Genomic DNA, 27,946 nt, shown 5'->3' on the forward strand with positions numbered 1-27,946 from the left:
TTTCTTCTTTCTTTTTGACTGAGTCTTGCTCTATTACCCAGGCTAGAGTGCAAGGGCGAGATCTCAGCTAACTGCAACCTCCGCCTCCCGGGTTCAAGCAATTCTCTTGCCTCAGCCTCCCGAGTAGCTGGGATTACAGGCGCCTGCCACCAAACACAGCTAATTTTTGCATTTTTAGTAGAGACAGGGTTTCACCATGTTGGCCAGGTTGGTCTCGAACTGCTAACATCAGATGACCCACCCGGGTTGGCCTCCCAAAGTGCTGGGATTGCAGGCGTGAGCCACTGCACCCAGCCCCCATGTGCTTTTCCAGAGAGACAGAGGACTTTCACTTTACCCTTGTCCCGCCAAGGAGAGGCCGAGGCTGGTGGGTTCCATGCCAAGCTTGGCTCTACCCTAGACTGAGGCAGAGCAACTTTGTCCCTTTACGTAGAATTCTTATGCATCCCTCTGGGGGTAAGAATTGGAATTGGAATTATTTGGAAACTTTAATCTTCATTGTCTCCTCTCTCTCCTTACCACTCCATGGGGCAGCTATGTATTGAGGGAAGAGAAGGTGCTTTTCTGGGCCTCAATTTCCTCATCTGTAAAATGAGAGCAACAGACCCTGTGTGGTTTTAGGAGATAGTAAGTGGTTCCAAAGGACTCTGTGGGCTGCAAATCAAACTGTAAGAGCGGATTGTTATTTTCTCATGTGTATTAGCCTGGCCTCCCTGGTTGGCGGTAAGTCCTTTCTCAGCATCTTGGCATCCCTCATTCATCCTGAGTACACAGAAGGTTTACAAGACATGTTTTCAAAAATGATCCGTACAGGAAGAGAAAAATTGTGAATTCATAAGAAATGGGGGGAGATTTTTTTTTTTTTTTTTTTTTTTTTTTTTTTTTTTTTAGCACAGTGTTAGGAGTCAAGAATGGTGGCAGGAAACTGGGCAGGGCCATGCGTGAGTACAGGGACAGCTCTCAGGGGTGGTGGGGGTGGTAGGTTTGTGCATGGGCTTGAGCCCCAGTCTGTCTCTCAGCGGCTTCCTCCAGGAAACAAAACTGACCAACTCCGGGTTGGTCAGATATATATATTTGAGACAGGGTGTTGCTCTGTCTCAACAGAGCAGGCTGCAGTGCAGTAGCATGATCTCAGCTCACTGCAACCTCCGCCTCCCGGTCTCGAGCTATCTTCCTCACCTCAGCCTCCTTAGTAGCTGGGACTATAGGCATGCACCACCGTGCCCAGCTAATTTTTGTATTTTTTGTAGAGGTGGGGTCTCACTATGTTGCCCAGGCTGCTCTCGAACTCCTGAGTTCAAGCGATCTGTCTGCCTCTACCTCCCAAAGTGCTGGGATTACAGGTGTGATCCACCATGCCCAGCCAGAAATGGGGACTTTCAAATTCCTCTCCCTCCCTCCCCATGTAAGGGGAGGGGACACCCCACCATGCAGGGGAGGATCAGTAGGAGGGAAGGAAGGGTCTGAGAGCCCCTGTAGTTGGAGGTGGCCAGTGTCTTGTTCATCGAAGGCCAGGGCAAAGTGAGGGATGTAGAAGAGTCACTGGCAGTGCCCTGAGGATGCTGCCCACCTTGCTTTGAAGAAATCCACCCCTCAGTCAGGACTTTTGGGGCCCTGCCAGGAACCCTGTGTGACCCCTGGACTCCTCAGCAGACCCAGGTGTCTGCCTTTGACTTGAGGACAGGCCAGCACACCTGGGGTTAGTCAGTTCTGTTTCCTGGAGGAAGCCGCTGAGAGACTGACTGGGGCTCAAGCCCGTGAACAAACCCACCATCCCCACCACCCCTGAGAGCTGTCCCTGTACTCACGCATGGCCCTGCCCAGTTTCCTGCCACCATTCTTGACTCCTAACAAGGATGCAGCAGAGTAAGAGCTTTAGACCCAGAGTCTCTAAGCTGGACTAATCCTTAGCAGCCATGTCCCCCTGCTTCTTCTTTGCTTCATTTTCCATGGCTCACATCCCCTTCTGATGGCCTATAGATTTCACTCCTTAATCTTGTTTGCCATCTGTCCTCCCTGTTAGAATAGCAGCTCTGTGAGGGCAAAGCCTTTTGTCTCTCTCGTTCCATGGTCTCTCCCAAGAGATCAGAGTGTAGTAGGTGCTCAGTTAACACGTGCTGAGTAGATGAACACATCCAATGCACCATTTCTCAGTATACAGATGGGGAGACTGAGACCCAGAGGCGAGGAGTGACTCTTGGAGGCAGAGCTGGAGCTTTTCCTAATTAGACTCAAGTTAATTCAAATTTGGGTCTCTGTCTCCCACTTTGAATTACCTTGGTTGCTAGGGGTGCTTAAGAGGCCCTTGGCAAGAACCTTCAGGCCAGCTGCCTCCAGAGTTACCCAAAGGGGCAGCTCCCAGACTGAATGGACAGCCGCCACATGAGGCGATTGGTGAGTTCCAGGAAGGAGTCATCCCCACCAGACCTCCATCCTCAAAGAAAACCTCCCAGGGTTGCTCTCCCAAGGCAGCCAATTCCTCTGCTAGTGAGTTCTCTCTTGGTGAAAATAGTGCCCTCTTCAGGCAGCCTTTTAAAATTCCCCAGTGCAATTAAAAAAAAAAAAAGCACATCCAATCAATCAATCAATCAATCAGTCAGTCAATCAATTCTCCAGTGCACTGGAGAACTAAGGAAGTCCAAAGCCAGGCTCCAGGCAGCCGTGGGAGAAGGAGTGGCATTCCCATGGACTTGGGCTAGGGATAACCGACCAGTCTGAGAAATGCAGCCAGAGGCCCAGGGAAGCCTTGGGGTTCTGAGGCCTCACTTGGGAATCTGGCAAGAGAGCCTAGAGGCCACAGTGCTCAGCACGCCCCCCACAGAGGAGCAGATCTTGTGCAGGCCTCTACATTCCATCCATGGGGAGCTTTGGCTTTTTTCCCCAAGCCCAGCTGTTGACCCCAAACATCTTTTTCCATCGTCATTGTGGTTTGCCAAATTCAGGGTTAGAATGCACCTGAACCTTGGAGCTGGGGGAAGGACTCCAGAAATTAGGCCTTGAAGGATATGTAGGAGTTTTCAAGCTTGTTGGAAAAATTAGGGAGGAAGGAGACAGGCAGGTGAGGGAGCAGTGATAATGCTTTGCCTGAAGAAACAAATCTGTAATGGGGCCTTCTTCTGTGACTGAGGCCATTGTAGGCCCTTCCCTACCCCCCCATCCTTGTCCCCAACCACCTTCGATGGGCTCCCTGCTCCTGAAGAGGGTGAGGCCCTGACCTAAGACAGAGCTTCATGCACTACTGCCCTGGCCTTCTCTTTATTACCACTGTTACTACAAGTTTGCTGACTTTCAGCCACAGTGGATGGAAAAGTACGCCTGTTGCAACATGACGTGAGTCAGTTGTTCATAAATAATGGGATTGCACCGTCAGCTCTGATGCCCTGGTGTCTGGCCCACAGTTGGAGACATGGTGTTGGCTCCTTGGAGAAAAGGGTAAGGGTGACTCTAGACATCAGTTTGAAATTATGCAGGATGGCAGTGAGGATCCAGCAGGTGCGAGAGCTACAATCATTTTTGGCATCTAGGAAAAAAGATAGTGCCCCCAAATCAGTGATCCAAGGTTTAATTCTCACCCATGCCCTGTCCTCCGATCCAGGTTTTGCCTTACACAGTCTTCCTCTCTTCTGACCTTGACCTCAGCCAGGACCACCCCCAGCATGCTATGGACTTAAGGGGTGAGTTTTGCCCAAGCCTCAGACAGGGTCATTCTGCCTGGACACACCACAGCCCCTTCAGACAGTCTTCCTCTGATTATCTGGGAACCCTTTGACCAAGATGGTCAGGTTCACCTTGGTGGGATTCATTTGGAGCCTGCCAGAGACACAGAGACCAACTATGATAGCTTCTAGACCCCAGAGTCCCAAATTCAGCCACTCCACTAGCTTGCCACTTGTTTTGGAGTTGATCACTGCACTCCTGGGAGCTGAAGACTAGTGTGGCTGGTAGAGAGCCTTGGATTCTAATTCTGACATTATCTAATGCATAGTGTGACTTTGATCCTGTCACTTCCTCTGCCTCAGTTTCCTCTTCTGTACGGCTTGGATTCATCATGGTGTCTCAACCTCAGCACTATTGACTTTCGGTACCGGATAATTCTGTGTTTGTGGTGGGCGGTGGAGAGGGGGGATGTGCTGTGCATTGTGGGAAGTTAGCAGTAGCCCTGGCTTCTACCCAGCAGACACTGCACCATCACATCCCCTTCCCTTCCTGGCAACCAAAACTGTCTCCAGACATTGCCAAATGTCCTCTCGGGGACACTCCATCTCTGGTTGAGACCCCTGGGATCAATGATCTATGAAGACCCTCCCAACGGTCATCCTCAGGACAGGGGAGACCATGTTCTCTTTCCAGCCCCTGTTTCATGAATGTGGACTGGGTGTGAATGAAGACTCAACACGTGGGGTGTGCAAGGACTTATGGGTGGAGGGGCCCCTTGGACCTCATGCTGAGAGCCAAGGCCAGTTCTCTTCGCCTTCCAGACCTTGGGTTACATAAGTCGGGGTGGGTGGGGCGAGGCTCGGAGTGAGGGGGAGAGAGGCCTGTGGTTCGGGCCCGCACACTAAGGTCAGTGGCCTTCCAGTGCGGGGCAGCGTGGTGAGTAATCATCTATTCATGCCCTAGGACTCAGCATTCCACCCACTTTCCCCTCTCACGCTGCCCTGGGAGGGGACACAGGAAGTGAATCAGCCCACCCACCAAGCAGAGGAGGGAGAGAGGGTGGAGTGTGGGTGTTGTTAGACGCAAGGGCACGCCTGCGCCGGCCTACCCTGGGTTTTATTTTGTTTATTCCTCCCAAGTTAGCTGTTTATTAACTTCGTCCACGGAAACCCCCTTCTGACCTTGTCGCTTAATGGAAGGGCAGACGATCTTTGGCAGGGGGAGGGGTTTGTTGATGAATATTAGAAGTAAATCACTGTCTCTGGGAATAACAGACTGTGAGGTTTGGGATAGTACTAACCCAGACCTATTGCTCTGGGGGATTCATTCCTTCATTGAAGAAACTCTGCTCTGGACTGTGGGCTAGATGTGGGGCAGGAGAAGGGAATGAGATATAGTGCCTGCCTGCAGAACCCCTCAGTCTCAGAGGGAAGACATGGCTGTCAGGCTGTCCCTGCAGGGTACTGGGAATGTACATGGAATGCATGGAGTGGGGTGTGGGCAGCACCACCCAGCTGTGTTGCGGGGAATTGGGGGTGGGCAGCTGGGGCAACACATGTGCTTGGGGAGGTGGAGGGAATGTTCAGGCAGCTTCCCGAGAGGAAGAGGTGGAATTTTTGTTGTGTTATTTTGTTGTTACCTTTTGTTATTGCAGTAAAACATACAAAACATTTAACCTTTTTTTTTTACCATTTAACCTTTAACCTTTACCATTTAACCTTTAACCATTTAAAATTTACCATTTAACCTTTTTTTTTTTTTTTTTGATACGGAGTCTCGATCTGTTGCCCAGGCTGGAGTGCAACGGCACCATCTCGGCTCACCGCAACCTCTGCCTCCTGGGTTCAAGCAATTCTCCTGCCTCAACCTCCCGAGTAGCTGGGATTACAGGCGCACACCACCACTAATTTTTGTATTTTTAGTAGAGACAAGGTTTCACCATGTTGGCCAGGATGGTCTCAATCTCTTGACCTCGTGATCTGCCCACCTCGGCCTCCCAAAGTGCTGGGATTACAGGTGTGAGCCACCGCCCCCCGCCCATTTAACCATTTTTTAAGTCTGCAACTCATTGTCATTAAGTACATTCACATTGTTGTGCAACCATCACCACCATCCATCTCCATACCTTTTTATCATCTCCCAGATGAAACTCTGTACCCAGTAAACAATAATTTCCCATTTCCCCTCCCCTGGCCCCTTGCAACCACCATCATCCTTTCCGTCTTTTTATGAACTTGAGTACTCTAGATACCTCCTGTAAGTGGAATCATGCTGCACTTGTCTTTTTGTGACTGGCTAATTTCACTTAGCATAGTGTCTTCACTTAGCATAATTTCACTTAGCATAGTGTCTTCAATTTCATCCATGTTGTGGCATGTGACAGAATTTCCTTCTTTTTTAAGGCTGCATAATATTCCATTACATATACATCATATTTTTTTTTTTTTTGAGAGATAGTCTCGCTCTGTCACCCAGGCTGGAGTGCAGTGGCACGATCTCGGCTTGTTGCACCCTCCACCTCCCGTTATATACCACATTTTGTTTATCATTTGTTTCTGACACTTCAGTTGCTTCACCTTTTGTCTGCTGTGAATAATGTTGCTATGAACATGGAAATGCAAATATCTGTTTGTGTCCCTGCTCTCACTTCCTTTGGATGCGTGCCCAGAAGTGGAGTTTCTGGGTCATATGGTGCTTCTATGTTTAAGTTTCGGAGGAACCATCATAGTATTAAGGAAGACGTGTTTGAATTAGGTTTTAAGGATGAGCGTGGAATCTCTGGACACCTCAGAGGGAAGGGGAGGGGAGAGGAGGGAAGGAAAAAGCCCAGGCTGCAGGAAGAAAGTGGTGCTGAGGTGTTCGTGCCTGGGGCTGGAGATGAGGCCCTGAGGGTAGGAGGGGCTGGGGAAGAGTATGGAAGGTCTTGCACCTTTCATCCCCCACAAGGCTGAGGAACTTGGGCTCTGCCCTGTGGACAGTGAGAAGTGTCGAAGGAGTTTTCATCAGGAAGTGAGACAGGCTGATGGTCATCTTAGAAGGACATAGTTGGGAGGGATGTCCCAGGTGGACTGAGAGGGAAAGAGGCTTCAGGCAAGAAGACCAAGTGAGAGAAAGCTGGGGGACCCTGTGGCTGTCGGTGGGGTGGTAGAGGGAGCAAGTCTGAAGGGTGCTGTGCCGCACAAGGGTGCCCAGGATTCTGGTTTGTTGGCTGGGTTGATGGTGGTGCAGGCACCTGGGTAAGTTCACTGGAGGAGCAGCTGACTTGACAAGATGAGGAGTGGATAAACTTGGGCCTGGTGGCTTTAAGGGGCCCACAGAACCACCTGGAGATGAACTTAGAGACGAGGCATTGACAAGTGTGAAAAGGCATTGCAGAGCTAGTTGCTGAGTTCAAGGTGAGAAGCCAGTCAAGGGCCAGGGCAAGGACTGCCATCAGATGACCTGGAGGGCCCTGCGGAGTTGAAAGCCAGGACACAGGGTGGCCTCTGCTCAGTGTGGCTCAATCCCTGCCCTGGGCATGTCATATCAATCCACACATTCTCACTGCCAAGCTCGAGGCTGCATGCTTGGTTTGGGCACTGTGGGTAGAGACCCAGAGATCAACATGACCTAGTGACTTTAATTCATTTATTCATCCCATAAAGCTCAGAGAATGGAATCTGGCCAATACCTTTGCACAGCTAAAGATTGAATGTCTGCAGGAGAAATGGAGTGTGTTATGGAAATGTATCATGGGGACATGACAGGCTAGAGCAGGATTTCTCACCTTGGCCCTGCTGACATATTGGGCCAGATAATTCTTTGTCGTGTGGGACTGTCCTGTGCACTGCAGGATGTATAGCAGCATCCCTGGCTTCTATGCAACAGATGCCAGTAGCCACACACACCCCCTCCCTGCTTGTGACAACCAAAAATATCTCCAAACATTGCCAAATGTCCACTGGGGAGCAAAACCATCCCCAATGAGATCCATTGGTCTAAGGGTCAAAAAGGTTTCTTTGAGGTAGTTATGTTAATCTGAATTCCAGAAGATAGATAAGAATTAGTTAGGATACAGCAGGGGTGGAGAGTGGAGGAGAGTATTCAAGGCACAGGTTCCAGCAAGTGCAAAGGCCCTGAGGTGAGAGACAGCATGGAGGCAGCAGTGAGGAACCTGGTGTAGCTTCCTCACTGAATGAATGGGGAAGGCTTTGATTAGGCAAGCAGTGGTGAAGGTGGGAGAGAAGGGTCAGATTCTAGGGATCTTCCAGAGGGAACACTCTAGGTTCTGATGACCGAAAGGGTTTGGACATGAGAGTGCTAAGGAAATCCCCCAGGTGCAGAGAATGAAACCAACTAGAAGCTGGTGAATTACATTTGGAGCATGCTGGGTTGGAGATACCTGGGAGACAGCAGGTGGGGTCCTGAGCTCAGAAGAGAGGCCTGGTTGGAGCTACACAGTTGGAAGCTACATGCATACAGGTGATGAGAGAAGCCATGGGGTGGATGGGACAGCCCCGGGAGAGCCTGCAGACTGAGAAGTGGAGCATGGAGAGGAGGGCCTGGCAGGAAGCAGCAGGAGCTCCAACATTTAGAGATGGAGAACGAGTTCCAAGAGAGATAGTGGAGGACCGTATGGAGAATGGTGCTGTGGAGGCCCATGGAAGAGTGCTCCAGGCGCAGGGCATGGGCCACGGTGAAGCCTGTGGAGCACGAGTAAGTGCATGAGGACTGAGAAGTGCCTGGGGATTTTGAAGTGCTATGAGGAGGAACCAGACTTAGATGGTTGAGGAATGGGCAGCAGGTGGGAAGAGAGGCAGCTGGCAGACAGTTTTTCCAAAAATGTGTCAGTAGACGTGAGGAGAGAGTGAAGAAGCCAGAAAGGGAAGTGGGTTTAGGATCTCACTGGGAAGAGTTTTCATCCTCCTATCTCCCCCGATCTCCCTGTCCCCTCCCTCCTCAGAGGCAATGTTACCAGTTCCACGCATGTGTTAGAAAAGACGTATACAGATTATTTCCCCCGGATGGTGGCACATGCATGCACTCTGCCCCTGCGTCTTAATTTTTCCACCTAGCTACCTACTGTGAGGTTTCTCCATATCAGTACCTAGAAAGCTGCTTCTTGGCCAGGTGCGGTGGTTCATGCCTGTAATCCCAGCACTTTGGGAGGCCAAGGTGGCTGATCACCTGAGGTCAGGAGTTTGAGACCAGCCTGGACAACAAGGTGAAATGCCATCTCTACAAAAATACAAAAATTAGCCAGGCATGATGGTAGGTGCCTGTAATCTCAGCTACTTGGGAGGCTGAGGTGGGAGAATCACTTGAACCCAGGAGGTGGAGGTCACAGTGAGCTGAGATCGCTCCACTGCACTCCAGCCTGGGTGACAGAGTGAGACTCCATATTAAAAAAAAAACAAAAAAAACAAAACGAAACAACAACAACAACAAAAGAAAGCTGCTTCTTTCTTGCTTATGGATGTCACATAACTTATTTAACTAATCTGTTTTTTGGACATGGAGGCAGTTTTGAGCCTTTTGCCACCACAAATGATTTCCCACAGAATCCCCTTGTACTTCAGTCATTTTGCAAATGTAGGTGGCTATAGGTAGGATAAAGTCCTAGAAGTGGAATTGGTGGTTCATGGGTATGTGCGTTTATATTTGGAAAGATATCGGCAATGTGCTGTCCATAGAGTTTGTAAGAATGTACCCACCTACCAGCAGTGGATGAGAATACTCATTTACCACACCCTCCAACAGAGAGTGTTACCAAACACACCAATATTTGCCAATCTGGAAGACAAAAAATGATTTATTGATATAGTTTAACCTGCATTTTTGAATAAAGTTAAATATATTATTACAGATATAAAAGTCATTTGAATTTCCTCTTCTGTGAACTGTCTATTCATATGTTTTATCAATTTTATTTGAAGTTGTTCTTATCAGAACTTTTTCTTATTAGAGGAATCAGAGGGAATCTTGAAGTATTGGAGAAACTAGTCTTTTGTCTGGAATATACATTATACGTTTTTCCCTTCCTCATTTGGTCAACAATTTATTATTATTATTATTATTGCTGTTACTGCTGTTTTTTAAGAATTATGAGTGTTGGCCAGGCGCGGTGGCTCATGCCTGTAATCCCAGCACTTTGGGAGGCCAAGGCGGGTGGATCATGAGGTCAGGAGATCAAGACCATCCTGGCTAACACGGTGAAACCCCGTCTCTACTAAAAATACAAAAAAATTAGCCGGGTGTGGTGGCGGGCGCCTGTAGTCCCAGCTACTCGGGAGGCTGAGGCAGGAGAATGGTGTGAACCCGGGAGGCGGAGCTTGCAGTGAGCCGAGATCGCGCCACTGCACTCCAGCCTGGGCAACAGAGCAAGACTCCGTCGCAAAAAATAAAAAAAAAAAAAAAAAAAAGAATAATGAGTGTTGATGGAAGAGATTCACTAGAGAGGGGATCTCTGATATGGAGGTCCCTGAGGAAGCATTTAGGTGAGTTCCAGAATGGACCAGGGCTTGTCCTTAGGCAGGAAGGGAGATACCTCGCTGTCATGACAAGTAGAAGGGAGGGAAGACGGAGCTGTGTGCCAGGAATTGGATGGCTACACGTTGAAAGAGTGAAGGAAATCGTGAGTTCATCTAGGGAAGGGGCTGTGTTCACGAGATGGCAGAAGTTAGAGGGATGAGAGAGTTCACCGATGTAGCAAGAGAATGATTGGACTGATGAAGCCTGGAACCTGAGTTAGATGAGGGAAGTGAGTGGATGGTGTTCTGACGTTTGCTTAGATTTTGTATTTGTTTGTGTGGCATTTGTTAGTCACAGGGCAAGCAATCAGCCCAAGTTGTTTCCATCTCCCCTGCAACTTAAAATCCATGCTCTGAATCACTTCCTTATCTAACTGGGATGCACCCTGCCAATCTTTCCCTGCCCTTAGTCGCCCAGGCTGAGGTACCAAATGAGTTGGGACAGCCTCTACGCCCCAGTGCCCACAGGGGTTATTTAAACTAGCCATTCCTAACCTGCTCAACCTGCCCTGCTGTGCTTTTCCCGTTGAAACCCAATAAAGGATCTGACCGAGGCCTCACGCTCACTGACCAAAGCCTGGTGATTCCCCTGCAGCCACACACTGGGTTTGGTGTGGCCCCTCCTCTTGGGAAATGTGGGTGATACATTCTTCTTTCAGCAACATTGCCTCTGTTATCACTCAGTTGCCTCCATCAATTAAAATCCTGCAGGTACAATTGAGACCACAAAGGACCCTCAAACAGGAATAGAATGTAAGGGTCAGTAAACTGCAGGCCCAGTGAGGCTCCAGAGCCATCAGAGCATGAGTGGTTAAATAAGCAAGCTCTCCGGGAAGAATTCCTGGAGGAAGTGGGCTGGGGAGATGGATTCTGAAGAATGGAGATGAGGAGATGCGTTGTAGTGGGAAAGGCAAGAGCAAACTGCGGGGTGCAGGGGAGTGTGTGGGTGTGTTTGGGTGTCCGGGAGGACAGCAATCAGAACTGAAAGAGGCTGGAGGAAAATCTGCAATGAGGAGGTTAATCTGATGTTGTATAGAGGAGGCAGGGGCGAGAGGGTCCAAGAGGTAGGGTGGAGCCTGCAGATGCTTTTTGAAAACAGGATTTTTCTTTCCAAGAATGATTTGATTTTGTGGTAACTCCTTCTGGGGGCTCAGAGTGGGGCTTGAAGGTGCCTATGATGAAGGACCTAGATGTGTGTTCCAACCTTGCATTAGGTCCAACTTGACTGTTGCTATACAGTAAACCCCCTACCCTGCTACCTTTTGGTTACCACATTAACAAAACCCCATTCCTGGCTGAGCTCAATCATCTGACTTTGCCCTTCAACCCTGGCAAAAGTCATCCTCTTCTCTCTCTTCTGCTTGTCACAGCAGCGGGGGAACTTCGCTCCCATCTGAAGTGAGCCTCAGCCCTCTTGGTGCCTTCTTCCTCCCCATGAAAACCCCCCTTCTCCTGTCCAGTCCCCCCGTCCCCCAGGATCAGCTGCCCATACCTGGTGACTGCTTCTGACTTTCCAGGGGCATTTGACTTGAGAAATAAAAAAAAGAAACTGGAAAACCGAAAAGTCTTTAAAGCATGAAGACTTGAGCAATACTGGTTGGATGGTGGGTGATGGCATTGCAGTACTGAAGCCTGAGGCCCTGTTCCACACTGCCTCAAATCACAGAGACTCTTTTTTGGGGGTGGGGATTTGCCTGTTCTAATAATGCTGGCCTAGGTCACAGTCCTATGTGCTATAAATCAGTAAATCCATGGGAAGTTCACGAACACATGCACCTATTGGGCGATTCCTCATGCTACCTTGGGATTTCTCTTGTATCGTTGCTTACACAGTTATTTACCTTTTTGAGAGTGGAATTTGTGGGGAAGTCATCTCATATTCAGCAAGTGCTTGCCTAGTTCTCACGAACCCTGAACTGGGTCAGGTGGCATGGATCTTAAACCTTTGTTGTATGTGTTTTACCTCCCCAGTAAAGACCCTGTCACGACTCCCTGATATGCCCTATAGTCCCCATTGCCAATGCAGAGAATAAGGGAACCCAGCCAGGCACAGTGTCTCATGCCCGTAAAATCCAAACACTTTCAGAGGCCAAGGAGGGAGGATCCCCTGAGCTGAAGCGTTTGAGACCAGCCTGGGCAACATAGTGAGACCCCCATTTTTACAAAATTTTAAAAATTAGCTGGGCATGGTGGTGTGTGCCTGTAGTTCCAGCTACTCAAGGGGGCTGAGGTGGAAGGATCACTTGGGCCCAGGGAGCTGAAGCTGCAGTGAGCTGTGATTGCACCACTGCACTCCAGCCTGGGCAACAGAGTGAGACTCTGTCTCAAAAACAGCGGCAACAACAACCAAATAAATAAATAAATAAATAAAGGGAACCTAGATGGGCTGTGGTTGGCAGAGAAGATTTCTTGAAAAAAGGAAGAGCTCGAGCAGACAGTATGTCTAGAAAAGGTAGGAAAGGGGAAGGAAGAGAAAAGGAAGTCCACCAGGGAGGCCCCATTTCCGGCACTCTACAGAGCCAGGTGTTCCCGAGAGGAGGTTGAGTGTCAGCCCTTCAGGGTGGCCAGTGGATGGCGACTGGTCACCCTGGGGTGGGGGGGTGACAGGTGAGCAGGTGAGCCGCCTAAGAAGGAAAGGGACAGGAGGCAATGGAGTTCCTGCCAACAGTGAGGGTGGGGATCTGTGAATGTTGCCCCCTCTCTGCCAGCTGGGGAGTCCTGGGGGGGCTGCAAGCTGGATGGGCAGGGTGGGGAGTGGGTGGACTCAGGGACCTTGCCTTTCTGTGAGGGACTGAAGTTCCTTCACAGCCGCCTCCCCAAGCGCCCAGGGAACAACTGTTCTCCCAGATCAGGGCTCACTAATGCCTCCTGCCTGGAATCCTGGCTTGCTGAAAGGGAGTGATAGGGAGCAGGGAGTTCTGAGAGGAGGGCTTCCGTTTCTGAAATAGAGGATGCCAATTGTTCATTTCTTCGATGTCTTTGGTACACGTCCTCTCTAGAACCTGACTAATCATTTTTTACAAATTGTAAGTGGAAAAAAAAAAAGGAAATTGTGTGCAGGAGGATGAAAACTTTGGCTTAAGCGTGGGCTTAACCAAGCAGGAAGGGAAAGTGGCTGGCCCAGCTGCCCTTCTCCCTCCTGTCCCTCCTAGTCTGGTTTGGTTTAATCTTACCTTTGTCCTAGAGGCAGTTCCAGATGCCCAGTTGCTGGAACATTACTTCTGGGTGTAGCTTAACAAGACCATGGCCTCTGGACCCGCGATCAGCTCGCTGTGTGGTCCTGAGCAGCCACCCAACATCTCTGGGCCTTGGATTCCTACCTGGCCTTTCTTCTGGATGCATCATTTTTGCCTTTAGGTATCTGGACCATTCCCCCCCATGGATGATAAAGTCTTTGCTTCACACCCTCAGGATTACCTTAAAGGCCTGAAAAGAACAGAGGAGGAGTCTGAGGAGGTGAATTCCAGCCGTGCTCTTGCAGGCTGGCTGGGCAGTGTGCTGGGGAGGAGAGGGAGCCTCTGGCTGGGCCTCCTCCACCGGGCCTGGTGTGCTGGGAACACCCCGCATTGTCCCAAGGCCTCAGATTTGACTTTCAAAGGGAAAACAGCTCTCCTGATAAAGGTGGGTCTTGTTCTATGATATATGGCTTTGTTCCAGTGTCCTGCAGGTATGAGAAGAACAGAGGCTGCACCGGGTCTCTAGGGGGTTAGACGACTCCTGCTTTGGGGGAGCTGAAGGGTTTCATGTGCCTGGGCTGTGTCTGATTGTGCCTTCAGTATCGCTGTCTGGGCGCCTGCTGGTGCCGGGCACTCTATTAAATGTGATCTTACGGACCACTCTGGAGGAGCAGTGCAGGAGTGGTCGTCTCTATTCTCTCAGCCTGGGATGAGGAGACTGAAGGGTGTGCAGCTTGTGCAGAATCCCTTGGGCTTCCCAGGGGACAGCTCAAGTCAGATTTGAACCACGTCTTAGGAGTCCTTGCCCAGAGCTCCTTTCCCCACAGACTGTTTATGGTGGGCCTTCACACGACTGCAACTGCGTTCTCTGCCCTTCCACTCCGCCCCTTCTGCTCTCATGTGTCCCCTGCAGCATCAATGGTTGCCAATTATTGAGGAAATGAATTCACTTTGTTCAGGGAGGAAGATCGGGGTCTTTGTCTGAATAATAAAAGAAAAGAAAAGTTTGCTCTAATAATTCCAGTGAATCCCCACAGCACCTCCCCTCTCCCCAAAGCATCAGCATGTCTTCGCGTTTTCCAGCATCCTTGAAGACCCAAGGGAATGGGTCTCGAATGGGGAAATCTCCAGTCTCAAGTCACAGGGGCTGGCCCCTGACTCACACTGCAGAGGTGACCACTTTTCCACCTTCTTACCCAGCCTTACCTTCTTACCACAGCCAGCCCTGGGTGACATTCCTGTGCCAAGAAATGCAAGGACCTATCTCCAAGTGTGTTTCACCTTGACTGGCACTTTCCACCTCACATACCCAGGGACACGAGTTTGGGAGAGGTGTCTAAACTACAGAAGTTATTTCCTTTCTTCTCACTTTTCATATAGAGGCCCTGCTTTTTCTCCCTGGGCAAAGTGAATCATTTCCCATGACAAGCAATGGCAGTTGGAGCTCTGGGGGCAGGGACTACCTGGGTTTAGGGACAACTGTAGTAAGAATCTTCCCCTCCAGCCCCTCCACTGTCATGCACTTGCCAGTCTCATGCCGCTTCCTTCCCCTTGGGCTCGGGGCAGTCCTTGGGTCAGGAGCTCAAGGCCAGCCTGGAGCCTCAGAGGTGGTCCTGGGCAGTGAAGCCTCGGGGAAGGCGGAGGGCTTACTATTTACACCTTCTGAGCTTGGGCTGCACGTTCTTGGGGGCTGATTTAGATGAACTGTTATTCTCATTATTCATAGGGTTTTTTATTTTTTTATTTTTTTGAAACAGAGTCTCCCTCTGTTGCCAGGTTGCAGTGCAATGGTGTGACCTTGGCTCACTGCAACCTCTGCCTCCTGGGTTCAAGTGATTCTCAAGCCTCAGTCTCCAGAATAGCTGGAATTATAGGCGTGCTCCACCACACCCGGCTAGTTTTTGTATTTTCAGTAGAGCCGGGGTTTTGCCATGTTGGCTAGGCTGATCTGGAGCTCCTGACCACAGGTGATCCACCTGCCTTGGCCTCCCAAGGTTCTGGGATTACAGGCATGAGCCACCGTGCCCGGCCATAAGGTTTTAAATAATGCATTTTGCCTCAGCCCTTTAAAAAAAAAAGCCTGTGCTTAATAATGCTACAATAATGACGTTGTGTCACATTTCAGCCACGGGGCTCTTAATCCACCACTGCATTCAAATATTGTGAAATGTGTTACTTACGATATTGGGTTAGCGGGAAAAATAATGTCCTAGCAAGAAGGAAGGAGAAATACATTTTCCGTTTTATCTTGTAGCCTGGGACAGGCCAGAGAAGGCATGTCCCTGGTCATAAGTTAGAATGACAGTTGCTCTTTTTGAGTCCCGGCTATGCATCAAGGGCTTACACATGGGGCTTACACTTACTAATGCTTGAAACACCCCAAAGAGGTAGTTGCTCTGGGGATTATAAAAGTGTCCACCTGAAGAGATGCTGTGAAAATTAAGTGGGGTGTAAAATGCCCATAAGGGGTTTATTTATTTATTTATTTTGAGATGGAGTCTTGCTCTGTCCCCCAGGCTGCGTGCAGTGGTGGGATTTTGGCTCACTGCAACACCTGCCTCCTGGGTTTAAGCAATTCTCCTGCCTCAGTCTGCCAAGTAGCTGGGATTACAGGCACACGCCACTAGGCCTGGGTAATTTTTGTATTTTTAGTAGAGATGGGGTTTCACCATGTTGGCCAGGCTGGTCTGGAACTCTTGACCTCAGGTGATCTGCCCGCCTCAGCCCCCAAAGTGCTGGGATTACAGGCGTGAGCCACTGCACCCAGTCCACAAGGGGTTTAGAATAGATTGAGTGCTCAATAGTGGTGTTTCAAATCAAACTCATCATCTCCATTTCACAAGGGAGGAAAGTGAGGCCCAGAGGGGCTTCGGGACTCAAAGCCTGGGTGAGCTGACTCTGGAGCCCAAATGCCATACACACCAGGGGGAGTGGTTGGACATTATGCAGGCGGGGGCATCCACCCAGGCTCCCTCACCCCATCTAAGCTCCCCACTGGCTGTGGGGCCACTTACAAGACATGCCCTTTCCCATCTGTGCCCTGCAGCCTTCTCTGACCCCTAGTACCCTCCAGTCTCTGCTGAGGTCTGGGCCCATGCCGGTCCACCCCCCTACCCAGGTCCATGCAGCCTTCTTCCCTCTGCCAGTTCACATCTCCCTGGCTGCTTGGCTGCCCTGACCATTTTCCCCTCACCTGTGAGGTGTGCTCTTTGGGTAATGATTACGTGAAATGGCTCACCTACAGCTTTATAGATTTACAATCCCCCCAGTCCCAGTGGGTGAAGCTCAGAGTTAATGATTGCTAGAAAAGCTTCCCACAAATGCAAATCATCTAGGGAGGTGCAGCAGCTCCCTGGACGCTCCCTCACTGGCCTGGCATTGAAATGCACCCGGGGTGCTATGTCTTGGCTTTCTCCACGTGCCCACCCTCCTTTCCCCTTCTCCCCATGCTGTGCTCCCACCTCTTGCCTCTCTGAGCTCAGCACCAGCAGGCCTCCCTACTTGCCGTCTGCCAGTCTGCCTCCCTGCCTTGTGCCTCTGCTGTCTCTGGGGACATCGTTCCCTTCTCTGCCAAAGCAAGTCCTCAGCCTCTTTGGTATCCACCTAAAGCACTGCCTCCACCAGGAGCCTGCCCTGACTGCACCACCATCCTTGCGCAGGGTTTCTTCTCTGAACTTCGCCGAGCCACCAGGCAGATCTTTTCTGAGTGCTATCCCATACATCGGGCAATGTTTCGTTGCGAGGACTCAGCAGTGGGCAAGGCAGGAGCCCTGCCATCCAGAGGGGCATTGGTGTGCTCTGGGAGCACCCAGCCAGCCTGAGCTGCAGCAGGGGCTCAGAGGAGAAGAGGGGTGCACTGGAGGCTGATGAAGTGGGGCTCGGGCTGGGACAGACGGTGTGGTGGAATTGCCTAGGCAGGCAAGAAATGCATCTCGAAGCAGAGGGGGCAGCTTGTTCGAAGCACAAGGCAGGATTTGGTGTCAGACATTATGCAGCCATGTCATGTTTGAGACACCTGTTTAACACCCAGGTGGAGGCAGGTGATCCCTCAGAGATGTCTGTCTCCCTCTCTCCTGTTACCTGCTCGTGGTCCACTGGGTATGTCTTGTCTCCTCAGAAAGATGGGGTTCTCTTTGAGGGCAGCCAACATTTCTGACACTCTGCCCAGCTCAGACCCCAGCACTGAGCACGCACTCACTGCAGAGATGTGGGATTGAATTTAAACTCACCTCCGTCATCCATTCTGCCTCCTTCTTCTTGGGGCACCTGCTTTTCACCTTGTCCTGCTAGTACAGTAGTCCCCCTTATCTGCAAGGGAGGTAGTTCAAGACCCCAGTGGATGCCTGAAACCACAGATAGTACTAAACCTGGTATATACTATGTTTTTTCCTGTATATACATACCTATGGTAAAGAGTAAGTTATAAATTAGTAAGGATTAACCACCATAATAATAAAACAGAACAATTATTATAATATGTTATAATAAAAGTTATACGATGCCAGGTGCAGTGGCTCACGCCTGTAATCCCAGCACTTTGGGAGGCCGAGGCAGGTGGATCACCACCTAAGGTCGGGTGTTTGAGACCAGCCTGGCCAACATGGGGACACCCTGTCTCTAATAAAAATACAAAAGTTAGCTAGGCGTGGTAGGGGGCGCCTTTAATCCCAGGTACCTGGGAGGCTGAGGCATGAGAAAAGCTTGAACCCAGGAGGCGGAGGTTGCAGTGAGCCAAGATTGTGCCACTGCACTCCAGCCTGGGCGACAGAGCGAGACTCCATTTCAAAAAATATATATATAAATATATACATATATATATATATATATATATATATATATATATATATATATATATATATATATGAATGTGGTCTCTCCCTCTCCCACTCTCTCAAAATATCCTGTTGCACTATATATACCTATTTTTGGACCACCGTTGACTGCAGGTAACTGAAACCCCAAAAACTGAAGCCATGGATAAGGGGGACTGCTCTATGGGTCCCCAGCTCCTTGTACTTCTGCTTGCTTTTGGTTGTGAGTGTCTTGTCTCCCAAACGGATTCTAGGCCATGTGACCCGAACGAGCACAGCTCAGAGCAGTTGTTCCCTCCTTGGGCTGAGCATGGGACTCACCACTGGAGCCTGATAACAGGGTGATCCCCAGGCAGCACCCCAAGGGACCCTGATTCAGAAGGTTCGAGATAGGCCCACCTTGGCGGCTCTGGGTTCTGACAAGCCAGGTTTCTTTGGAAACACAGCTGGGCTTGGGACTTGCTGCCAGAGAGGTTTCCAGGCTCCTGTCTCTACCCTAGCTTTAACCAGTCCTCACCTCTTCCCAGGGTTAGAAACTTAGACTCGATTTGGACATTTTTGGAGCAGGGAGCTCAGTGCCCATGGAGCAGCATGCGGGTGCTTGCCTCTGTGGGTTGAGCTGAATGAAGCCTGTCTCCTGGAAGCTCTTGTCTGGGGGTCTTGGTTCTGCTCTCAGCGGTTGCATGGCCTCCTCCAGGTTCCCAGCCTGCTGCCCCTGGACATGTGAAGGCACTCACCCTCGCCCCACGTCTTCTCTGGGTCTCCTTCCTTTCCTTCCTCTGCGGTCTGGTCTGGCTTCCACAGGCTGGCAGCTTTATCTCAGACTTCAAGTTTCTGATCAGATTAGAAGCTTGAGAGCAGGGTGGAGATAGGATCTCGCCTTCCCCCGCAGCCAGAGCCTTCCCCGTTGGGGTGAGGGGAACCCAACAGTCAGGGCCTGGAGTCACCTTCCATCAGCCTGGCAGGGGCTTCGCCCTTTCCCAGCCTTGGGGGAGGACCCCGCCTGCTGCACCCACCCTGGAGGCCAACTAGCTGGGTAGCATAGAGCCAGAACGATCCCAGGCTGGCGTTTGGCACCCTGGTGCTAGATCTACAGGGCTCAGCAGCAGACTGGCTCCAGGTGGGCTCTGCTCCTCTTACCTGGGACCAGCTTTACAGTCACTGACGTGGGTCCCCTTCCCCTCCCCTGACCCTTGGTGAGCTGGATTTAAATGAGCTGGGGTTCGGCCTGGGCATTAGTATTTTTTAACTTTCTGGGTGGTTTGGATGTCCATTCAGAGAGGTGCCTAGCATCCCCTTCCAGCTCTGACAATGCATGGAAATAGTTATTGCATGCTCGGGTAAGATCACCAGGGCCGATAATATGCATATCATATATTGCTGAAATCAGTATTTGTATTTTACAAAAAGGTATTTAAAAAATGTAAAACAGGAAACCCAAATATTTAATAATTTTAAATATAAAAATGCTTTAGAATACCAATAAACATTGACTTAGAAAAATACACATTCTCATTCTAGTCTATGTTAGCAGATAAAATAAACAAAAATGAAATATTCAAAACATTAAAACCTATCCACCTCAAAACCTCAAAATTCAGTCATGGAAAGTTCAAGAAGGGATACTATTTGATCCCTTTTAAAGCAGAAATTTAAAATCAAAGGATGTTGGCAATATCATTATGTCACAAGTATGCTTTTTTTCCCTGTAAAATTTTCTAGAAAAAGCTTTTCCTGACTCTACCCTAGTTGGGGAATAGTGAGAAGATATATTTGTGTGATATCTTCGAATATTTTCCGCCGACAAGGCCTTTTGGCTTTTTTTCAGAGACTGCCGTCTTTTATTTATAAGGAGCCACAATTTTTGTTTCTAAAGCATTTCCGATTTGCCTTTGAGTTCTTTGGTTTTATCTTGTTCAGATGGAGATTCTGATGCACGCTTCCTGTATCAGTTTCAAAACTGTCATGTTGATATCCCACATGTTAGGAAAGTCTGTGAATAGAGTGGTAATTATTCTTGCAACAGAGTTTTGCTTTGTCTATAGGCATGCAACATCTGAGTAGGACTCAAAAGACATATTTCATATTTCAGGGTTTTTTCTGACATTGTTATTCTCTCATTTTCAAAGCATATACAAAGATTGAGAGATTAGTAGATTAACTTCCATGCTGGCTCCAGCAATTATCAACTCATGGCCGTTTTTTATCTATACTCTTACCCAGTCCCCTGGATCCCCACCAGATTTTGTTACAGCCGGTCTGAGACGTCATATCGTTTTATCTGCAATTACTTCAGTATACATCTCCAAAGGAAAATGGCCCAATAAAACACATAACCACAGTACTATTACTGTACCTTAAGAATTGATAATTCCTCATTATCATAAAAGAGCAAATGTTGACATTTTCCCAGTTGTCTCCTACATTTTGTTTTACAATTAGTTTGTTTGAGATTTCCTATGTTTAAACTTTTGAAATAAATATCTTTGGACCAAACAGATATACAATTTTGGCACTGAAGTGCAGTTTTCGTGAACACAGCGTGGCAACCACCAGGTAGAAGATGCCAGACAACCAGGCCAGACCCTGCCTCTAGGGCTCAGAGTGCAGTGGACAGCAGAAGTCATTCAGTGGCTCAGCAAACATTCATTCATTGAACAGGAACACTGGACAGTGTTCCTGGGCTGGGCACCACGGGCACAGCAATGACCAAGACAAGCTGGGTCTGTCTTGACCTGATGGAAACCAGGACACTGGAATCTAACTGAAGTTTGCAAATGAAATGATAGATACCCTTGTACTGGAACCCAGAAGTGAGTGGAAGCTAATTTTACCCTAGAAAGCATTATAGAGCAGGTGACATTTGCGTTTAGCCATAACAAAAGGAAGAATTTTGTCAAGAAGACTGGTGGCTTATGCCTGTAATCCCAGCACTTTTGGAGGCCAAGGTGGGAGGGTCACTTGAGACCAGCCTGGGCAACATAGTGAGACCCCATTTCTAAAAAAAAAAAAAAAAAAAATTAAAAACTAGCCAGGGCCGGGTGCAGTGGCTCATGTCTGTAATCCCAGCACTTTGGGAGGCTGAGACAGGCAGATCACCTGAGGTCAGGAGTTCGAGACCAGCCTGGCCATCCATGGCTAACATGGTGAAACCCTGTCTCTACTAAAAATACAAAAATCAGCTGGGCGCGGTAGCGGGCACCTGTAATCCCAGCTACTTAGGAGGATAAGACAGGAGGCAGAGGTTGCAGTGAGCCGAGATCGCACCACTGCACTCCAGCCTGGATGACAGAGGGAGACCCCGTCTCAAAAAAACCAAAAATAAAAAACAAGAAAAAAACCTAGCTAGGTACTGTGGCGTGTGCGTGTGGTCCAAGCTACTCAGGAGGGAGGCTGTGGTAAGAGGATCATTTCAGCCTAGGAGGTCGAGGCTGCAGTGAGCTGTGTTTGTACCACTGCACTCCAGGCTGGGTGACAGAGTGAGACCCTGTCTCAAAAAAAAAAAAAAAAAAAGAAGAAGAAGGAGAAGAGGAAGAAGAAGAAGAAGAAGAAGAAGAAGAAGAAGAAGAAGAAGAAGAAGAAGAAGAAGAAGAAGAAGAAGAAGAAGAAGAGGGAGAAGAAGAAGACGAGGAAGAAGAAGAAGAGGAAGAGGAAGAAGAAGAAGAAGAAGAAGAAGAGGAAGAAGAAGAGGAATTATTTCATCAAGAAGAGAAGATGGAGTAAGAGATGTCTCATCCAGTGCAAATAACGAGCACAAAGAGCGCATGGGGGTGGGAAGTTCCTGGTGCACTAAGGACCGAGATGACAGGAGGGCAGGCATATGGCAAGGCTGGTGGGAGGTGGGGCTGGGGGACTGCGGAGGGCTTGAGGATATGCTAAGGAGTGGGGTTTTCCAGGACCTACTGCTGGGGACTGCGCTATTTTCTTGTTTGAACATAAAGTGTGGAACATGGGGCAGGAGAAGAGAACCTTGCAGGAACAATGAGGAGGATTTGGATTTCCAAGCCCTTCCTGGAGCCCTCTGTCCACTAGGCCAAGAGTCTGCCTGGATCTCCATGAGTCTCCAGGGATAACACAGAGGCTGGCGCACAGTGAGTGCTTGATATAGGTCTACTAGCAGATGGCCTCTGCCATGCTCCCAGTGAGAGTGCTCCCACCAGCCTCCACCTTCACCTATGGTGGTGAGGGAGGGATCCCCCTCTTTATGCCTTCGGCTCAGGGAAATGGGGTGGCTTTTCCAAATGCATGAGCTGTTAGGCTTTAGGACTTGGTCCCCAGCTCCCCTGAACGGCCAGTGGTGCTCCTGGGCCAGAGGCAGGATGGGGGCACATAGAGTAAGGCTCACCTGTGACCTTCTCAGGTGAATGTACAAGCAAATGCCAGCATTTGCAACCCATGGGCTGGCTGACACAATTAATCCTTTTAAGACCTGCCAAGAGTTAGAGGACTCATTCATTTATTTTCTTCTAATAGCGTTGCGTTAAATGAAAGAAAGAAAAAGAAAAAAGAATATACATGCTCATTGTGGGCAAACCCTGTTGTTACAGAAAAGGAGAAAGAGTAAAGCAAATCCCTAGATTTGCTGATCTACCACTACCATCCAGAGAGAGCCACAATGAACAGCCTTCTAAATCTTCTTCTGTTCATAAATACAAAGCAGTTAAATGTAGCACCATTTTATATAGACAGTATTACGAGATTTAGGCTGTTCTATAACCTGCTTTTTTTCACTTAACAACTTGTCATGACACCGTTACCTGTCAGTTACCACAGATCTGTACCATTTTTAATAGCCCCACGGTACAGTTTTGCATGGATGTGGCCGTAAGTTACCCACCAGTTCTGTTGCCAGAAATGTGGATTGTTTTCCATTTTTCTCTGCAATGTGCTAGGGAATATCATTCAGCTTTTTCAGATATGTAATAATCGTCTAGCAGTAAATATTTAGAATAGCTGGGATAGCTAGGGCAAAAAAAAAAAAAAAGAAAAAAGAAAAAAGGCTCAGTACACTCAGAGTCCTAAGCCAAGCTGGGAGGTCACCATGGCAACCCCCTGCCATCCTCACACAGGGAGTGCCCATTTGCCACGGCTCCAGCCCAGGAGGTGGGTCAGAGCTGGAGGAGAAACAGTCTGTTTTCAAGCAGTTTTATAAACCAAGGGCAGAAGGCACAGGAGAGAGCATTAATGCAGACCTGAGACAGCTTAAAATGCAGTGGTGATAATAGCTCTTTATTGAGTCCTTGTCATCTGGTAGATACCATGGGTTTTCATCCTCACCAGAGCCGTTGAAACTTTTATGATCCTCATTCAAGTGATTAGAAACTCAGAAACTAAGGAATCTGTCCAAGGGCACACAGTAAATGATGGAGCCAGGGTTTGAAATTAGGCTGCATTCACTCTTCAGCATTCTCCTTGCCACCACAATTGGAGTGGCCAGCCTCTGTCTCATCACCATCCCTGAGGCTCAGGTTCTCTTTTCCCAGTCCCACTAGAGCATTCATTCCCACCCCATTCATATGCAGCGCACACCAATTCTTCATCTGGCCTCTGTTTTCTGGGCTCCACTCTGGCCTCCTGCCACTCCATACCCTGCGTACTTCCGTGCTGAACTACAGATAGGTCCTCGAATGGCACGCCCTCTTCCTACCTCCATGGCCCTGTCCTGCTATACCCTCAGCTCTCCCCCATAGCTGTGGCACTCCTATTGACTCTTCAAGACTTATCCCAAGTTTCATTTCTTTTTTTTTTTTTTTTCTGAGGTAGAGTCTTGCTCTGTTGCCCAGGCTGGAGTGCAGTGGGGCAATCTCAGCACATTACAATCTCTTCCTCCCAGGCTCAAGTGATTCTCCTGCTTCAGCCTCCCAAATAGCTGGGACTGCAGGTGCCCGCCACCATGCCCGGCTAATTTTTGTATTTTTAGTAGAGACAGGGTTTTGCCATGTTGGCCAGGCTGGTCTTGAACTCCTGACCTCAGGTGATCCACCCAGCTCAGCCTCCCAGTGTGCTGGGCTTACAGGCGTGAGCCACCGCGCCTGGCCCCAAGCTTCATTTCTTCAAGAAGTCTCCCCTGACTCCCTAGCATAATGCCCTCCTCTGTGTTCCCCTAGAGGCATAACCACTATTTTTTAAGCACTGTCTATCCCCAGGCAGCTGCATCGCCCTTATAGGTCAGGCAGCCACAGCACCCTGGAATGTTTGTTTCTCTTGCAGAGGGAACGAGCACCCACCTGGGCCTGCAGCCAGGTGCACAGTGAGTCTGCAATAACCACTGCTTTACTATTAGATGTGCCGCGTGGCAATTGTTAGTGCAGATCTACACTAGAATGTGAGCTCTTAAGGGATAGAACTGTTGTGTCTGCTTCTTCATCCCCATATCTTTCCTACCATAGCTTTGGACATATAGTAGGTATTCAGGAAATGTGTGCTGAATGAATGAATGAATGAATGAATGAATGAATGAATGAATGATCAAGCATATTCCTGCCCACTCTCCACTTCTGCTACCAGCCCCAGGGCAGGTGCAAACTCGGAACTACATTAACCCAAGCAGCCTACCAAGTTCGCTGCCTCTCACCTGGCTGGTTCCTGACCACTCCCCAAACACGTGACCCCTCCTGTCTCCTTAAGCCTCATCTACCTCTCCACCCACCGCAGTTTCTACGCACAGCCATCTGCCCGGGAAACTAAGGTTCTGGGTGAACGCTTATCATCACCTCTACCACATCATCCCATGAACCTGGCTTTTTCTTCTCCCTTGGGCTCCCCTGTCTGTGTTCCTCTCCTTGGTGGGACCTCAGGTATTCCCTGGGGCTTTGAAAGCCACTTTTCTCTCCCTCTGAAATGTATCTGTAGCCTCAACTTCTCCTCCAAGATGCAGTCACATTTTTTTTTAACTGCAAATACATGCAAATCAAACTCAACTTGTCTGAAAACTGTCCTGGTTTTCCTCACTTTCTTCATCATTTCCCATTGATGTCGTCATTTTCCAGTGCCTGGGAAATGGTGCTCCAAAGACGCCAGCCAAATTTGCCTGTTTCTCTGTGATCAGACACCTGACTTTTATCACCAGGGCTCCAAACTCCCCAAAGCTCCCAGCCAAGCCTGGCAGGAGTAGTGAGGCCTCAGCAAACCTAAGGGTGAGTATCCATGTGAAGAAGCTGTGTTTCCTGGGCTGCATCCCGTTCTTTCCATGTGCAGATTCAGCCCAGGGCTGTTAGATCTTCAGATTTATCAAAAGAAACTGGGAGCGGGGTTTTTATGTTGACAGCTCTTTGTCTTTTTTTTTTTTTTTTTGAGATAGGCTCTCACTCTGTTGCACAGTCTGGAGTGCAATGGCATAATCTTGGCTCACTGCAATCTCTGCCTCCCAGGTTCAAGCAATTCTCCCTGCCTCAGACTCCTGATTAGCTGAGATTACAGGTGCCCGCCACCACATCTGTCTAATTTTTGTATTTTTAGTAGAGACGGGGTTTTGCCATGTTGGCCAGGCTGGTCTCAAACTCCTGACCTCAGGTGATCTGCCTGCCTCGGCCTCCCAAAGTGCTGGGATTACAGGCGTGAGCCACCGCACCTGGCCTTTTGTTTTCTTAATAGACTTTATGTTTTAGAGCAGATGTAGGTTTATAGAAAAATTGTGCAGAAGGTAATTTCCATTCCCTCCCTCCCCACCCCCGTTATTAACATCTTGCGTTAGTGTGTATGATGAACAAACATGGATGCATTGTTATTAACTATTGTCCCTCCTTTACATTAGGCCTCATGCTTTATGTTGTGCATTCTATGGACTTTGACAAATGCTTAATGTCATGTTTCCACCATTACAGTATCATGCTGGGTTTTTTTTTTAGATGAGGTTTTGCTCTGTTGCCTGGGCTTGAGTGCAGTGGCAGTAACATGGCTCACTGCAACCTCGACCTCAGGCTCATGTGATTCTCCTGCCTCAGCCTCCCTAGTAGCTGGGGCTACAGGCATGCACCACCACACTTGGCTAATTTCTTTATTATTATTATTATTATTTGTAGAGATGGAGTCTCACTATGTTGCCCAGGCTGGTCTTGAACTCCTGGACTCAAGTGATCTTCCCGCCTCAGCCTCCCAAAGTGCTTACAGGTGTGAGCCACTGCGCCCACCACATGCGGATTGTTTTGTAAACACTTTAGGCATCAGAAGTCTCTGCTTTCTACGCTCTTTCATCCTAGTGTGCCCCTCCTTCTCATTGTAGCTACCCCACAGTATTCAGCTCTTTCCCCCTCTCTCCACTCCTTAGAGCTTCCTGTCCCTACACATGGTCATCCTTTCATTTGTGTCATCTTTCTACCAAACTCTAAGCTCCTGGAGGCATTTGGAGGTTTAATTTAGAAGTCTCAGTCTCCCCAGTGCCTAGGGTGCTTTTGAGATTCACTAACATTCACCTGCAGGCATATTAAGCAAGTGCCTGCAGGTGTGTTGGCTCTGAGGCTTCCAGGAAGATGCTTTTAGGTCCTGTTGACAACAGAGAAAGTGAGAGCATGTGGCAAGGGATGAAGACTTGGGCACATCTCCAGTGGCAGTGGCTGCAGGGAGGAGAGAGGAGGTTTTCCAGCAAGAACAGTTTTAGAGAGAGGAGAGGTGAGGGGACAAACAGCTTTGAGTGGGAGGATGCTTGAATCCTTGGGAGCTGCCCCATAGAATGCCCAAGTTGGGATCTCAGACTCCCAGGGCCCTCACCTACCAGAGTCAAGCGATTCTCCTGCCTCAGCCTCCCGAGTAGTTGGGATTACAGGCTCCTGCCACCACACCCGGCTAATTTTTTTGTATTTTTAGTAGAGACAGGGTTTCACCATGTTGGCCAGGCTGGTCTCAAATTCCTGACCTCAGGTGATCTGCCAGCCTCAGCCTCCCAAAGTGCTGGGATTACAGGTGTGAGCCACCACACCCAGCCAAGTCTCTTCTTCTATAATGAAAATAGATCCAGGTCCTGTCATTCAGGAATCTAAATTGTGGCTACCAAAATGACAACATTTGAAAGGATCAGAGAATGATATACATCAAGCTAATAATCATAATGACCTTTGATTGAGCTGTTTGCTGCCAGCCACGCTCTATGCAAAGAAGCTTATGTACATTATTTCATTTAATCTTCATGCAGTTTATAAGCTAAGGATAGAGAGGCTGAGAAGGCTAAGACCAAGGCTGAGAAAGTTAAGCAACATGTTCAAGGGCACCAGTTAGTGAATAGAGAAGCCAGGTCTGAAAGCCAGATCAGTGTGACCCTGAAGTCTGGTCTCAGCCATTTCCCTACAGCTAGAGGGTTCAGGGAGGAGGAGGGCAGCAGGAGAGGAGTCGCTGGAGCCCGTGTCCCTCCTGGAGGAGGCTGACTGTGGGCTGGGCCCGAAAGGCTGCCAGGGAAGTGGCCAGCTAGAGGGTATTTGAGGCTTGGGGGCAGGCCTGCAGCCTGGCCAGCCTGGAAAGACTCCCAGGGAGTTGCTCGGGATGGGGGTGGGGGTGGCCATTATTCCAGCCTGTGCTTACCCTGAGTGGCCCACAGTGACATGGATGGCAACCCCTCCTTAGGGCCCTGCCAGGTTCCCGTTGCCTTTCCCTCTGTCACCCATCCCCCTGGGTCTGCAGATGAGATCCAGGCCCATTGCCTCTGGTGTGGGCTGGTTGCCTTGGGTGCGGACTTTACCCAAGTCAGAGGGCAAGGCCAGTGCAGCCTGCAGAGCCGCTTCTCCCTGGATCACACCTGCTGAGGGAATGCCTCTCCCAGCCACCGGACCAGTTTCCAGTTTCCAGGGTGGGGCAGCCAGGCAGA

General features: G+C 49.2%; 1 protein-coding gene and 1 non-coding gene across 19 annotated transcripts in view, besides 5 other annotated features; one reads left to right on the top strand and one right to left on the bottom strand.

Annotated features, from left to right (window-relative positions):
- The window catches only part of PAQR5 (progestin and adipoQ receptor family member 5), a 108,869-nt gene that overhangs the window by 2,096 nt on the left and 78,827 nt on the right, over window positions 1–27,946 (top strand). For 2 of the 18 annotated variants that reach the window (XM_047432745.1, XM_024449966.2), the window contains exon 1: window positions 25,131–25,289. The exons of 14 other annotated variants lie outside the window; for them this stretch is intronic. The gene's annotated coding sequence lies outside the window, so the exon portion shown is untranslated. Of the gene's footprint in view, window positions 1–3,595; window positions 4,594–13,395; window positions 13,788–25,130; window positions 25,290–27,946 lie in introns of those variants that run through there. 2 more of the 18 variants (XM_047432749.1, NM_001104554.2) reach the window with 2 other exon arrangements.
- Window positions 3,929–5,128: an enhancer, noted in NCBI's record as "P300/CBP strongly-dependent group 1 enhancer chr15:69597275-69598474 (GRCh37/hg19 assembly coordinates)". NCBI's record gives its function as "activates an origin of replication core promoter dependent on BRD2, BRD4, P300/CBP, MED14 and CDK7 cofactors, with strong dependence on P300/CBP, by STARR-seq in HCT116 cells {active_cell/tissue: HCT116}" and the evidence as "EXISTENCE:reporter gene assay evidence [ECO:0000049][PMID:35650434]".
- Window positions 4,168–4,900: an enhancer, noted in NCBI's record as "H3K4me1 hESC enhancer chr15:69597514-69598246 (GRCh37/hg19 assembly coordinates)". NCBI's record gives its function as "activates a minimal SCP1, AML or CMV promoter by ChIP-STARR-seq in primed H9 embryonic stem cells {active_cell/tissue: H9 hESC(primed)}" and the evidence as "EXISTENCE:reporter gene assay evidence [ECO:0000049][PMID:30033119]".
- Window positions 4,463–4,757: an enhancer, noted in NCBI's record as "tiled region #4882; HepG2 Activating DNase unmatched - State 4:PromP, and K562 Activating DNase matched - State 8:EnhW". NCBI's record gives its function as "activates a minimal TATA promoter and a strong SV40 promoter by Sharpr-MPRA in HepG2 and K562 cells {active_cell/tissue: HepG2 | K562}" and the evidence as "EXISTENCE:reporter gene assay evidence [ECO:0000049][PMID:27701403]".
- Window positions 16,799–17,298: an enhancer, noted in NCBI's record as "H3K4me1 hESC enhancer chr15:69610145-69610644 (GRCh37/hg19 assembly coordinates)". NCBI's record gives its function as "activates a minimal SCP1, AML or CMV promoter by ChIP-STARR-seq in naive H9 embryonic stem cells {active_cell/tissue: H9 hESC(naive)}" and the evidence as "EXISTENCE:reporter gene assay evidence [ECO:0000049][PMID:30033119]".
- Window positions 22,302–22,480: a silencer, noted in NCBI's record as "fragment chr15:69615648-69615826 (GRCh37/hg19 assembly coordinates)". NCBI's record gives its function as "represses an EF-1alpha promoter that drives an FKBP-Casp9 reporter gene in an ReSE screen in HepG2 liver carcinoma cells {active_cell/tissue: HepG2}" and the evidence as "EXISTENCE:reporter gene assay evidence [ECO:0000049][PMID:32094911]".
- Window positions 24,286–24,413, bottom strand: LOC124900368 (small nucleolar RNA SNORA77). The gene has a single exon (XR_007064819.1). It is a non-coding gene; the product is annotated as a small nucleolar RNA SNORA77 (small nucleolar RNA).

This window comes from Homo sapiens, chromosome 15 (assembly GCF_000001405.40).
Source record: "Homo sapiens chromosome 15, GRCh38.p14 Primary Assembly".
NCBI classification, from domain to species: domain Eukaryota; kingdom Metazoa; phylum Chordata; class Mammalia; order Primates; family Hominidae; genus Homo; species Homo sapiens.